At 40.4% G+C, this 14,758-nt stretch overlaps 1 long non-coding RNA gene across 3 annotated transcripts in view, besides 2 other annotated features; it reads left to right on the top strand.

Annotated features, from left to right (window-relative positions):
- COMETT (cytosolic oncogenic antisense to MET transcript) overlaps positions 1-14,758 on the top strand; it is a 124,434-nt gene that overhangs the window by 91,112 nt on the left and 18,564 nt on the right. The gene's annotated exons all lie outside the window — the stretch shown is intronic.
- Positions 8,480-8,579: an enhancer, noted in NCBI's record as "active region_26536". NCBI's record gives its function as "activates an Ori minimal core promoter by ATAC-STARR-seq in GM12878 lymphoblastoid cells {active_cell/tissue: GM12878}" and the evidence as "EXISTENCE:reporter gene assay evidence [ECO:0000049][PMID:35858748]".
- Positions 13,132-13,231: an enhancer, noted in NCBI's record as "active region_26535". NCBI's record gives its function as "activates an Ori minimal core promoter by ATAC-STARR-seq in GM12878 lymphoblastoid cells {active_cell/tissue: GM12878}" and the evidence as "EXISTENCE:reporter gene assay evidence [ECO:0000049][PMID:35858748]".

Below are 14,758 nucleotides of genomic sequence, written 5' to 3'. Positions count from 1 at the left end.
TTTGTAGTTCCAGTTTCCAGGGGAATTTCACATACATTCTCCTCTACCTTTCCTGATTGGCACTGTCCTTGACAAGCACTTCTTTGGGACGCCTATGTTTCCTAGACTGAATTCCCCCAAATCTTCTTGACTGAACACCCAAGAGGCCATACTCACTTCCTTCCTTGATCCAGGAAAAAAAATCAGCTCCTGTCAATTTTGGAATGCATCCATTTGAGGCCCACTCTGCCTTTGTGTTCATCATTTAACTTCTACCTCAGAGGAACTAGATAAGCTACATGATTAAACTTAGGTATTTCACCTAGATGGCCAAGGTATATTACCTTCAGGGACACTAAAACAATTACCTATCCTACATGAAGCACCCAAGTTCTCAGCATATGTCATGGGTAGCGTTAATTGGGTGACCAGGAGCTGAAGGGGTCCCTGTGGTGAAAGCACATAAGCACAAAAGCTCAGTCTAGCCTTAGTGTATACCTGGCCCCAAACCCAACACTCAAGCATTTCCTTGAACTAGGAGCAACTCCACTCCAGAATCAGTGCCCCATACTGGTAGAAATTCCACTCTGATGTTCAAATTCTCTATCTGAAACCCTTGAGTAGTTGTAGGGATTTCCATAGCTACCCTGCCATTGGATCAGGTTTGTTTCATATCATGTAATTGATACTAATGGGAAATCAACCTGGTGCCTTCATTCTAACTCCCTCCCGAATGCTATTCTCCTGAGATAGAGCAAATTACTGACTTTTCCAAGCAGTTCCTCTTCCTTTTATTTTGTTGTTGACCTCAAGGAAGAGTCTTCTAAGTATTCAAATGAAAAGTTGTGGTGCACAGAATATATTACAATGGCATTGATATGGCAGACACTGCCTTGCATGTGAATAGATGATTTTATTATCTGAGACTATTATCTAGATTCCTCTTATAATGACAGAGCTCAAATAAAGGAAAGACAAACTTTACACACACACACACACACACACACACACACACACACACACACACACACCCCTTGGACAGAAACCAGCAGGTGGGAAGAAACCTGCCCACTCTCTCCAGTTCCTTCTTATTCTACCATTATGAATTGAAGAAGGCTTTCCCACTGACACAAGGGGCACATGCTTTGAGGTCAATACCCCCACTTCAGGGTGTTCTGGAACTCCCATGTGTTAGTAATAATGATTAGCAGAAGGTAATTTAGGACTAAATGGCTCTGTGATTTTTAACTCTCCAAAGGGAATTAGAACAGTAATACCCAGGTGATATTGATTAATAGATTGCCAACCCCTGAAAGATAAGTTTCAGGTGGTATCTGCATATTTTGTCCTTTGTCTGGATCTCAGGAAAATAAACAGGGAGACATTGGACAAGAGAATCAGGAATTTAAAAGGTACTGACAGCCCTGATGAGCCAAGTCTTTTCAGATGAAAGGAGATGGTCATAAATGTAAAAATCTGTACTTGGGCTCAAAAACCCAATTCTAAGGGGATTGAATTGGGAAGACGTATCTTAGCAATGGCGTGTGCGAGGAAGTCTTTTGTGTCAAAAGGATGATAACGTTGTAGCTATGTAGAAAGTAAATAGCAGAAGGGAATGGTTCCGATTTACCCTGAATTGGTCACATGATACCTGTGATACCTGTGATACTCATCACAAACTCAGAGAAGCACAGGGACAGGCAAGTTGCAGCCAGCTCGGAAGAGAGTGACTAAGATGTTGACAGGGCTTGGTATCATGTCATGAAAACAGTCAAATAAACTAACGTAGCTTGGGCTGGAAAGGGAAGACGCACGCACATGTTAGTGTCCCAGTTGAGAGGCTGTTAATATGGAGGTTTAATTTGAGTTGTTTTGCTTGGCCTCACATGGGTGATAATGAACAATGCATAGGGCTTCAGGGCAATAGATACTTGGTTTACTTTAAGAAAGAGTGTTTCCTAACGAGATCATGAATGGTCTGAGATGTGGTCAATTTTCTGACATTGTCAAATTTTGTCTTGAAATTGGCCATAGTGGGAGTATTTACACCGGGAACCAGTGGCAAACACTACTTATCAGGGCTTTTTGTACTCTCTGGAGAGCTGGTTCTTAAACATTTACCAGTGGAACCATTTTAAAATATAGATATACTTTTATATGAACTGCAGTAAAACCAATTGAGCTGAAAAGCCAATTAGAGTAGGCATTTAGGCCTAGGAAGTGTGGTGAGACTAATGAGTTCTAAGCTTCCATTGAAGCTGGAAATCCTGAATATATGCTTCTAACATTTACATGTCTAATTTAATATTTGTTTGTTACTGGTAAGACACAATCATCATGATGAGGAAGGCCCAAACCCATTTTTGCATATGAGATTTAAATGTAGATCTGGGTAATTTAGTAGTTTGGAATAGGTAATGGAATTGCATTTTACTGTGGTCGTTCTGAGTTCCAGTTCTTTCCATCCACTAAGGAGTGGTACAGGAGTGTGCTGGAACTCCTCACAAATGCAGGTGAGAGCTGAGAGTTGACTTTGCACATCTTTTCCCAACTTTGCCTTCAGAGACTTCACATCGGCAGCTTCAAATTGGCCGTAGTGGGCTGGGCATGGTGGCTCACGCCTGTAATCCCAGCACTTTGGTAGGCTGAAGGGAGCAGATCACCTCAGGTCAAGAGTTCAAGACCAGCCTGGCCAACATGGTGAAGCCCTGTCTCTACTAAAAATACAGAAATTAGCCAGGCATGGTGGTGGGCTCCTGTAATCCCAGCTACTCAGGAGGCTGAGGCAGAGAATCACTTGAACTCGGGAGGCGAGTGTTAAAGTGAGCAGAGATCACACCACTGCACTCCAGCCTAGGCAACAGAATGAGACTCTGTCTCAAAAAAATAAATAAATAATTTAAAAAAAGAAATTGGCCACAGTGGGAGGGAGTATTCACACCATGAACTAGTGATAAACACTACAGATCAGGGCTTTTTGTACTCTCTGGAGAGCTGGTTGTTAAACATTTACCAGTGGAATCATTTTAAAATGTAGATATACTTTAATATGAACTGCAGTATATAAAACAGATAGAAGAAGAATGAAGCTAGCAGAACGTGCCCTAAGCCATACTCACTTAGCTTCCTCCCTTGCCACTGCATGTCCTTGCCCCTTGAAAGGCTCTGAGGCACCTCTGCAGCACCCTGTAACACCATGGGATTTAAAACCTCCGGAAAAATAATCCTTTCAGCTCACGCCGGGACTGTATTCTTTTAACTGGTATTTCCCTTTTCCTAGATTTGGGAATACAGACATAAAACAGCAGGGTTTCCCTCAGTTTTATGAGATTGTTTTTCAATAGAATGCCAGAGGGATCAGTTTGAGAACATTGGAAATCTGATTCCTCTAAATACAAGAAAAAATGGTCATAGGAAACAGTGAGTTTCCTCACTTTGTCAATGCTCTTGAAGCAATTGTGAGTTTTCTCTTGTTGAGATGCAAGGCCAGCCCTGGGTGAAGCCAGAAGTTTATGCGTTATAAGGGCACCCCAGACCTTTCCATTAGCATATTACCTTTCTTTCTTGGTTAGACTAGGAACCTGATGCTCCGAGGGAGTAAGATTTGGTGGAATGTTGTAAAGTATTCGGGGGTAGGAGGTAAGAAAAGGAAACTTTATATGATCCACAGATTTTTGGATAGGTTCCTAAAAAAAGGGTGTTGGGGGATTAAAAAGTGGCTGCCTGAGAGGACACTTTGTCTACTTGCTTTTTTGAACTGCAAGGCCTGTTCCGTGAAGTGCCTGAAAATGGCTATAGGAGGATCACAGAGGCTGTCAGGCAGCCGGAACGTAAGTCCAGGCAGCTTGTGTGAAAATCTTGAGGTAACCCTGATGTTTCCAGGGGCCCCCAGTGTTCCTAAGCTGGAGAATAGGAGCATGAATGCCATGACTGCTGCAAAACTTATCAAGCAAAATCGACAATTGTCACTGCTTGTGGAATTCCCTTTCTGTTAAAAATGAACGTGATTTCATGGGCACATATTTTGGTGTAATATTTTCATGGGAATTCTTCTTGTGCTCTGAATTCTGATTTCTTTTAATCTTACCCTTCCCATTTTCCCCAGAATGACAATGGATTCATTTTCCCTTCAAGGTCTTCTAAATCTATCACCTCTTTCCTTGACTTTGTCGCCTGATTTCCCTTCTATAAAGTTCTCTTCTTCAGAGGGAGGGGCAGAGTCACGGCTGGCTAGATTGCGGTCCTTATCTCTGCCCACACTCCTTCCTGTTCCCTTCTCTTGCCAAGCTTCCCTCTTCACTCTGCCCTTAGCTCCAGACCTGGCTTTGGGCTATGAGCCTGTTCTGCCGTGTGTCCCTCAAGCCAGTCCCGTCTCCTGATCAGCAGTGCCCCAGATTCGCTCTTTCCTCCGACTAAACCCATCCCCTTATCTCCCTCCTCTTCAACCTGCTACGTTGCTTGACAATACAGGGGTTAAATCTTTATTTCTTGCCTTTCATTTGCATCCTTTCCTTAAATTATCTAAGGCAAAGACTTTTTAATATTTGTACTGGAGCTGTGTCACAGTAGCGATGTTAAGCACACATCAGAAGATGAAGTATAATGCCACTTTAAGTCTCTTTAAGAGACTTAAGAGGTTAAGGAGAATTGAACATTTTGGCTTCTTCTCAAATGCAGAGAACAATTAAAAGTGTCCCCAAATAATTAACAGAAATTAATTTAGACTTATGAAAAATAAATATTATTCTCTTCTTAGAAGAAAATCAGAAGAGATCAGAAGCAGGGACTTAACTGATTATATAGCTTCAGTTCCTGAGGACGACCAAGTCAATCAAAATTATCATGCCATGCCATTTTGCAATGGATTTAATTATTTCTAATCAAATAATGGATTTATTTGCAATGGATTTGATTATTTTTAATCAAGCAGAAAATCTCCGAGTTCATCAGGTTTAGCTTTTCAAATCTGATGATCTGACACCTAGTGTTAATTTTGAGTACTGCTAAATATTTCACATAAAGTATACAGTACATTGAGTCTCCGTTTTTTATTCCTTTTCGTTTCTTCATATAACTTGAGAGATGTAGTCAGGTTACCATATAGTCTCAGGATAGATGTAGCTTACTTACTGGTGTTCAGAATGCGCAATGCGACCTGAAGTCAGGAAGCTGGGTCCTATCGTTGTGGGCCAACTGTTCCTATGACCTTGGGCAAGTTACTTTCCTCTTTTAGTCTGTGTGCCCTCAGTGGTAAGATGAGAATGACGGAACATATGGAATATATGATTTATCTCTAGGTCTTTTCCAATTCTGGAACCCTGTGTGTTATCTTTTTAAAGCAATAGTTATGTATGCCAGCTCTATTTTGAAGCTTGGAATATGTTCACCCAATAAACCAGAAAATGAAACAGTTGTTACTTGGAGGTGTATGGCTATTCTTTCACTATGTGAAATTCCTTCAAAACATGTTATAACAAAGAATTGAGACAAGATTTTGATGATTTTTAGTAACGCCATCTAATGGAGCTTTGGTTATCATAAAAATATTCTAGCTCTGTGCCGTCCACTCCTTAACCACTAGCCACATGTGGCTACTGAGCACTTGAAATGTAGCTAGTGAGACTGAAGAACTAAATTTTAATTTTGTCTAATGAAAGATTCATTTAAATGTAAGTAGCCACATGTGTCTAGAGGCTGCAGTCTTAGATAATATAGATTTATAGTGTATGGAAACATGAAAATTTCTTGATGAATTTGGGGGTGGTATTCACCAATATACTTAATTTACTTTCTTTACTGATTGGCTGTATATTAATCTTGTTATTTCACATTGACCATTTCCATTTTTGCCTGAATTCACCATACAAGTGCTTTGGGATTGATTCCATAATTGTGTTTTCTCTCAGGGTTTCAGCTATGTAGGTCTGGTTTAATTGAATTTAAATAAAGATGCTTTTTCTAGTTCACAAACAAAGATTGAAACATGCAAAACATTGAGAACATGCTGTCATGCTTAGTAAGATAAATTTCAAAGCCTAACCCCTGCAGTTATTTTTCTAAGCTAATTCTCTGTATTTGAGAGTTCAGGTTTAAACAAAAGCTAGGAGTGTCATGAGATATAAAAATATGTTATTTCCTATTTGTTATGGTGTCTAAAAAAGATAAAATACTTAGACAATTTCCTTAAATTTTATTTAACTTAACAAGTTAGCTTTCTTGTTAATGGGTACCAAAACATAGTTAGATAGGAAGAATAAGTTCTAGTGTTTAATAGCAGAGTAGGGTGACTATAGTTAACAATAATTTATTGTATATTTCAAAATAGCTAGAAGATTTGGAATATTCCCAACACAGAGAAATAATAAGTGTTTGAGTGATAGATATCCCAATTGCCCTGATTTTATCATTACACATTGTATGCATTTATCAAAGTTTCACATGTACCCCAGAAATATGTATGGTCATTATGTATCAATAAAAAATTTAGCTTTCTTAAAATACAGACTTTCTTTTTTTTTTCTTTGTTAAAAGGATAATGGTCTCATTCAAGGATTTTAATAGAAACCTCATCCCAGTTGACTAATTCCAAATTATTTATCATTCGCTATGTTTTCTTGTGTGCTCTTGCAGCTAAAATAAACTCCACTCATTTAACTCTTTCATTAGCATATACTCTGTCGTGATTTCTTCTGTTGCCTTCATTGAAGAGACTAATTCCTTCTGATAAACAACTTCTCTAACACACACACACACACACACCCCTCTAAGACTTAAGGCTTAAGGCGACTGGGAGCAATTTATTACATTGTTGTTGAAAGCATCTTTCTTAGTACGATGCATATGCATGGAAGGGAGGTCTGGCCTAAAATAAGTAAAATGACATGTGATTTATAAAGGTTGGGTGTAATATCTATAATTAATTTTATCTTTTTTACACCTAAGCCCACTCTGCCCCCAAACTTCTGCCTTATTATCAAATTACTGTGCAAAAAAAGAATATCACTCCCATATGTACGTCAAATATTCAGAACTAGTTACTTTGTACATTTTAAAATGTAAAATCCATATGGTTTTCTACCATCCAATTAAGGGATAACCCTTATGTATCCAGAAGAAAAACAGGTAGAAATGTCACCTAAGTAAGTGTTTAATAGTATTATACAAAAATAATTAATATGTTAAATAATGGCCACAACACACTATAAAACCCTGCACTGCCTTCTGAAATGAATATTAAATTTTATTTATGAGAAGTTCAGCATTGTGGATGTGATTGAGTTAAATTTCTTAAAAACTGCTGAAGTTCTGTAACTGTACATGATAGTATGCTCATAATTTTTTTCAGAATATATGATTAGACAGAATATCCTAAGGGAAGTCTCATATACCTACTTTAATTCCACCACCTGAAGGACAATATGAGTTGCCTCTTCTCCCTGGTCGTATTAAGGAACCACAATTTGAAAATGATTTTATCAGCATGAATGCTGTGATTCTGCATTCATTAGAGTGACAAACATTACTCTGCAGATGAAAATACAAATTCTTTAGTAACAAGAAATTCCAGACAGGAATATTGTTGTGCCTGCATATTATACTTATTTATTCCATTAATCTATCCAGATACTTATCTTTTTTCTAAAGAGTAATGTCATTAGTATTGTCTTCTACAGAGTCTTCAGTGATTAAATACACTTATTTCTATGCAGCTTAGTTTTATATCATAAATGTCCAGTAGATGGCAGTGCATGCACTAGAATTCACAGAATATCCTCTCAAACCCTAACCACAGCTATTTTTTAAATCTGCATTTTGGAAACATTGATAAGGTCTCACACAATAAGATTAAAAGTCAGCATTAAGCACTGGCTTCTTATTTTTAGCCTCAGACAACCAATGGAAATGAAACCTGTATCTACATGTTTTATTTCATTGTGTTTGAACAAGATTTTGGCACAATAAAAAAAAAGGGAAATCATTAACTTAAAACATCCTCAAACCCTGAAATGATAAATGCAATAAACCAATATTCTGTAAGTTTTCTTGAATTGTCAGAGGGGGGCAGACTGGAGGGTGTGATTTGCGGATAGGATGCTGCCCTTTAATATGAGTAGCAAAGTCCTGGATAATGCTTGTCCTAGAAACTGTCCTTGTGTGTTGAAGACATAACTTGTAGATGATGTAGGGAGGGTTATTGTTAAATACTGAAAAGTGGCTGTCATACAGGCTTCCAGTCTGATTTGTCAACGTGAAAAACTTGGAGGGCAGTGGGGAGGCTTCGGGAGGGAGGGAGGGAGGGAGAGAGAGAGAATTGATTTTGTTTTCCCCTAAAGGAGAGGAAGTGTCCAGGGAAGCTCTGCCTTTGTGGTTTTTCTTGTGTGCCTCAAAACACTTAGGCAAGATAAAGAACCTCTCTCACTCTACTGGGTAGTAGAGAGGAAGAATCATTGTTTCCAAGAGTCGATGCACTGAGAGCATCCACTAGGCGTTTTGTCAGGCCAGAAATAAGCAAGTGCTAGGCAGCAGGATGTGGTGAGGCCACTGGGTCAGGGGAAGGTTGGGGAGAGCCTGCTCATAATGAAATGACTGGGAATGTACCAGCTGAAGTCCCTGACTCTGTTTGAAACCAGGATGCATACAGCATGGTGTAAAAGAGCATGGAGTACAAACACAGGGAGAGTGAGAGGAGATTAAGCAAGTGTAAGCCAAATCTCCACACCCACACTCACTGGACCCTGAATGCTCTTCTCCTCCTCTAGTTTTCACAAGGCCATCATCTTCTTGGTCTTCAGGTCTCAGACTTACAGTAAATATTTCTCCAATAAGTGAATGAATGGATGATAATGCAGAGAAAATTAACATTCCAATCCCAAGAGTTTGAACGTACAAAAGAGGCAGGAACTACTGCCACGATAATGGTAGCAGGAGGAGAGAGCTCCTCTGTGGGGAGGGTGGCTCTGTGTCCCACTGTACAGAGGCACGGTAGTCAGGATGAGAACCTAAGAAGAGCTCAAGACAACCTTACTTCTGGGTGAAGACTCAAAAGAATTGAAATCAGGGCCTTGAAGAGATATCTGTACCCTCGTGTTCATAGCAGCATTATTCACAACAGCCAGAAGGGGAAAGCCACCCAAATGTCCGTGGATGAATGAATGAATAAACAACATGCAGTATATACATAGAATGGAATATTAGCCTCTAAAAGGACATATGTATTAGTCTGTTTTCACGCTGCTGATAAAGACATACCCAAGACTGGACTGGGCAATTTACAAAAGAAAGAGATTTGCTGCACCCATCAACCCATCATCTAAGTTTTAAACCCTGCATGCATTAGGTATTTGTCCTAATGCTCTCCCTTGCCCCCCACCCTCAACAGGCCCCGGTGTGCAATGTTCCCCTCCCTGTGTCCATGTTTTCTCATGGTTCAGCTCCCACTTATAAGTGAGAACATGCGTTGTTTGGTTTTCTGTTCCTGTGTAAGTTTGCAGAGAATTATGGTTTCCAGCTTCATCCATGTCCCCACAAAGGACATGAACTCATCCTTTTTTATGGCTGCCTAGTATTCCATGGTACATATATGCTATATTTTCTTTATCCAGTCAATTATTGATGGGCATTTGGGTTGGTTCCAACTCTGTGCTATTGTATATAGTGCTGCAATAAACATACATGTGCATGTATACCTATGTAACAAACCTGCACGTTCTGCACATGTATCCCAGAAGTTAAAGTAAAATAAAAAAAAAGAAAAGGCAATTAGAACCAAAAAAAAAAAAAAAAGAAAGAGGTTTAATAGGCTTACAGTTCCACGTGGCTAGGGAGGCCTCATAATCGCGGTGGAAGGTGAAAGGTACTTCTTACATGGCTGCGGCAAGAGCAAGCTTGTGTAGGAGAACTCTCCCTTGTAGAACCATCAGATCTCACGAGACTTACTCACTATCGTGAGAATAGTACAGGAAAGACCTGCCGCTATGATTTAATTACCTCCCACTGGGCCCCTCCCACGACACGTAGAAATTGTGGGAGTTACAATTCAAGATGAGATTTCGGTGGGGACAGAGCCAAACCATATCAATATATATTCTGATACATGCTACGACATGGGTGAACCTTGAGGACATTGTGCTAAGTGAAATAAGCCAGTCACAAAAAGACAAATACTGCTTGATTCCACTTGTATGAGGTATCTAGGGTAGATAAGCTTATAGAAACAGAAATTAGAATGGCGACTGCTAGGGACTCAGAAGAAAGAAATGGGGAATTGTCCAATGAATAGAGTTTCAGTTTTGAAAGATTAAAAAGGTTCTGGAAATTGCTTAACAATGTGAATATACTTTACTAACTGTACACTTAACATGGTTGAGAAGGTAAATATGTTATGTGTATATTTACCACAATTAAAAAAATGTTAAACAGGAAAAAAGAGGTCAAGAGTAGATCATGCAGGGCAGAGTACGTTAGCCAGCATCTCTTTGGGGCTGAGGTTTCTTCCTATATAGTTCAGCTTTGTTTAAGTCTTAGGGATTTATGCATTTTTAGCTCAACACTCGTGCCACCTATGCTAACTGGGCCTTGACCTTACAATACTGCCATCTTGCCAGTTTTGTTAACGGAGGTGCTGCATCTCTTAAAAGGCGCTGGCCTGTTGCCTGTAGGGCTGGGGTCCTGCCTTGTTCTTGCAGTTCCTTTTCTTCTTTCACTTTATCCTTGTGTAGCGGTGGAGTCTAACCTCGAGACCCTGACTTCCTGTTCATTGACTTTCCTAAAGATAACCCCTGCCTGCACTGATTTCCTGGACTATCTGTTCCAATTACAGTGACCAGCTGCCCTGGATTACTGAGGCTGTCCTGATTTTAGCTCTCCAAGTCCTGTAACCTGGGAAATACCTCAGTCCTGGGGCAGTTTAGGGCAGTGGGTCACCCTCTCTGTTACCACCCTCTGTCAGTGTTTCCTCGGTGTTTGACCCTTCAAGTCCTGTCCAGGGGCCCTCAGTGGCAAGGGTGATCCTGGCCAGGGTGCCAACTACACAGCCTGGAGTACTAGGCTGTCCCCAGAGCATACCTAGAGCAACTGATACAGGCAGGGAGGATGAGGAAAAGCTAAGGATGTGGAAGGCATTGAAATTCAAACATGGGAAGTCAAGAAGAGGAAACTCGGTGCTAAGAACTAACATTTAAGAACTGTGCTGATATTTTTATGTGAATGAACTCATTTAATCCTTGCAATCTTATAAATTAGAGACTATAATGATCACCATTTACAGGTGAGAAAACTGAGACAGACAGAGAAGAGGTAATTGTTTATACTGGACTTCGAACTCAGATCATCTGATATGAACTCAGTGGCCCTGGGAGCTTGAGAACAGACTGATATCTGGTCCCACGCCTAGAAAACCTAATGTAGTTGGCTTAGGATATGGCCTGGGTATTGGGATTTTTATAAAATCCCCAGGTGATTTTACTGTGTACCTAGGGTTTTGGAACCATCACAGTTTATAAACCTGGCTTTCTAATAGCTCCTCAATTCTACCTTCCATAAAGGTGAAGGTTCAGAAGACAGGCAGAGCTGGGGAAGTCAGGAACTAAAGGTAGGGCTGGAAGCAATGAGAAAAGTTTCTCCGGTGGTTTCCGTGAATACAGCTGCATGCTGTTGCTTCCTTCTTTTGGCTACTGACCATGGGTAAATCAGACAGGTTTAGATATACCTGGTCAGGACAAATGCCACTGGACCGTCTGTTATCTCTTGACGTCTTTTCCAGTTGTCGTGTCCTACGTGCACATGGGGCCGGGTGTGCCTGACTTTGTACCTTCCCTTTGCATCTGGGCTAGATTAACATCAAACCCTGGCCCCTTCCAGAATTCCTGTCTTCTAAAAGTTACCCTGCCTTAAGAAAAAGACCTTTCTCATCCAACTCCATGACTTTACCCTGTGAAAAGAGCCAGAACCAGGATGTAGATTTTGAGGTTTTACTTGAGATGGGAAGAGTTTACCATGTCCTTGGAAAAATGTATTAGTTATGCATGCCTACACGAGTTATTTATAAGCCTGTGTACCATTCTTAAGTAGCTAATTCCTTTTGTTATTTATCCAGAGAACCTCTCCAAGGTACTAAGAAAGTAGAAACATCCACACTTTGGATGGTTAACTCAACATTGACATTGATTTTTGAGACATTGACATTAACATTGATTTTTAGGCAAAATAATGGAAACTACCAGGCCCCTAGTGCCACAGACTCTTCTCACAACCCTGGGTTTGAGTACTTCCTACAAACCAAATATTGTATAGTAGTCCTGGAACATGGCCTATCTATAATCAAGAAAACCAGGTGTTACAAAGGTCTAATTTCCGATACATTGAGTAAGAATCCAATTCCTGTCAGTGGATGCAGGAGTTTCAAGAAACTTCATTCTTCTTTTGGGGTCAAACTTAAAAGAAGTTTGAAAATGCAATCAATTTCAGATTTCCAGTCACTTTGTTTCCTAAAAAGTTAGAGTTTGTTTTGATAATCCTGTGGTACTGATAGAAATACAGGGATAGATTAATTTTTTTCTTTCTTGGTCTTTTTGGGCCAGGAGAAGTTTTTTGAGACAGCTTGCTGGGATGGGGGTGGAGGTGGCTCTGGTCATAGGACAGGGTGAAGCCCTGGGTGGTATTTGTGAGCCAGTATCAGCAACACTAGTACTGGCCAGTAGTAAGTGAAATGTTAGCAAATCACAGTCACAGGATAAATTCAGCCCACTGCCTATTTTTCCCCCAATAAAACAGTTTAATTGGAACACAGCCATGCCCATTCATTCACCTATTATCTCTGGTTGCTTTAGTGCCAAAATGGCAATGTTCACTCATTGTGACAAAGACCATATGACCTGCAAAGCCTAAAAAATATTTGCTATCTGGTCTAGAAAAAGTTTGTTAAACTCTGTAGTAAGCTATTCACAGAATTAGAAGAGAATTGGTTGAAAAATATTCAACATGTCTATATCAACTTTTGGGAGTCAAGACCTAACTCAAAGAGGCCACCTGTTGGCTTGAAAGTGGCACCCCTGCAATTTGGAGTCAGTTCCTCAAAGGTTAACAGCAGTGAGACACATGCTGGTCTCCAGTTAGCACTTACAGTTTCAGTTTCAAAAACTCATTGTAAAAATAGGCTTATGTTTTTCAGAACTCGATGGAAATTATGAACTAGTATTTGGTACAATTTAGAATTTTGTGCTAGCAAAAAATTGCTCATTGGAGACCTCCTAGAAAATATTGGAGACCTCCTAGAAAATGTTTCCAGGACTGTTGTCTTTTTATTCAGCCTACAGGAATGCTTGACCCTTTCTTTCTTTCTTTCTTTCTTTCTTTCTTTCTTTCTTTCTTTCTTTCTTTCTTTCTTGCTTTCTTGCTTTCTTGCTTTCTTGCTTTCTTGCTTTCTTTCTTGCTTTCTTTCTTCTTTCTTTTTTCTTTCTTTTTTTTTTGGAACTCTGTTGTCCCCTTGGGTCTCATCGTTCTCAGATTTTTTTTTAAACTAGTGAGTCAGACCCCTGTTACAATGAGAAAAATGTTCAGTCTCACAGTCTCTTGCTATCGTGAGAGATGGCACTGAGGCGCAAAGATGTCACTGGATGAACTAAATATAGTCCCAGCAATGCACTGGCTCCCAGGCCCATCCACTCTCTGTAGAGAAGGGCTGCCACATGTCACAAGCCTCCTCCTCTTTCTTTGCCCTGTGCTTTTTACATTGCTCTGAGGAATCTTTCCCCTCAGGGTAGAGCTGATGAAAGAAACATTCCTAAATTCCCTGAAGACATGCTAGACTCGAGAGCTGCATGAACCCTTTTCTGGAGGAAACTCACTGATTGTGGTGACCAAGCAGCATTGGGAGCCTCAAGAAGCCTAGTTAGAGCTTGTTTTCTTTCCTGTCTTTAACAAATTCGCTATGCATTTGGGTGGCTGCACTTAGCCCTGTGACACCACAGGGTGGAACTTTGCAATTTGCTTCTTGGTACCAATGAGTTGGGCAATGTAGTTTACAGGTTAAATGATGGGAATGGGCAGTTCTAATGACATTAAAAATATTGATGGGATAAAATCACATGGGAGAGGGATGAAACAATACTATATTTAAACCAAAAAAGGATTGTCCAGCTGATTTAAAATCTCCTCACTTGTGTGCGGCTGGTGTGCTTAGTCTTCTCAGTGGTTTCCATGAGAAGGTAGGATCCTGAGTTGATGACCCTTCTCCTTACTGACCCCCTCCTTCCTAGGAATGGAGCTTAGACCCCATCCTGCAGGAAGACAGCTGCCCCAGCAGAGGGAGGATGAAAATTATGGCTTTTCCTCTGACTCACTGTGCGACCATGGAAAATTCCTGATTACAAAACATGGAAGAGTCAAAGCTTTTCCCTTGAGAAACATCTCCTGTGTCTCCCACCCTTCTACTCACCCACGTATCTCAAACTGTCTCCTTGGGCAGTATGGAGAGCTGGGACCTCCACAACTGTGAGAGGGGAGCAAGCTACAGACAGCTGGGGTCACTTACTTGGCTGGGAGCCTAGCTTTGGTCGTGGGTGACTGTGTTGGATAATGTAAGTCCAGCTGCTATAACAGATAAACCTTCAAATATTAGTGGCTCACACAATGGAAATTTCTTACGCATGGAAAAGTCCATTAGTGCTGGAGGGTGGGGTAGGCTGTGGGCTGTGGGGGATGGTACTTTCCTATGTGTAGTCTTTTTTTTTTTTTTTTCAGACAGGGTCTTGCTCTGTCCCCCAGGCTGGAGTACAGTGGC

Source organism: Homo sapiens, chromosome 7, assembly GCF_000001405.40.
Source record: "Homo sapiens chromosome 7, GRCh38.p14 Primary Assembly".
NCBI lineage: Eukaryota > Metazoa > Chordata > Mammalia > Primates > Hominidae > Homo > Homo sapiens.
The sequence above is the reverse complement of the archived record's forward strand: the minus strand, read 5'-3'. Positions and strand labels throughout refer to the sequence as shown.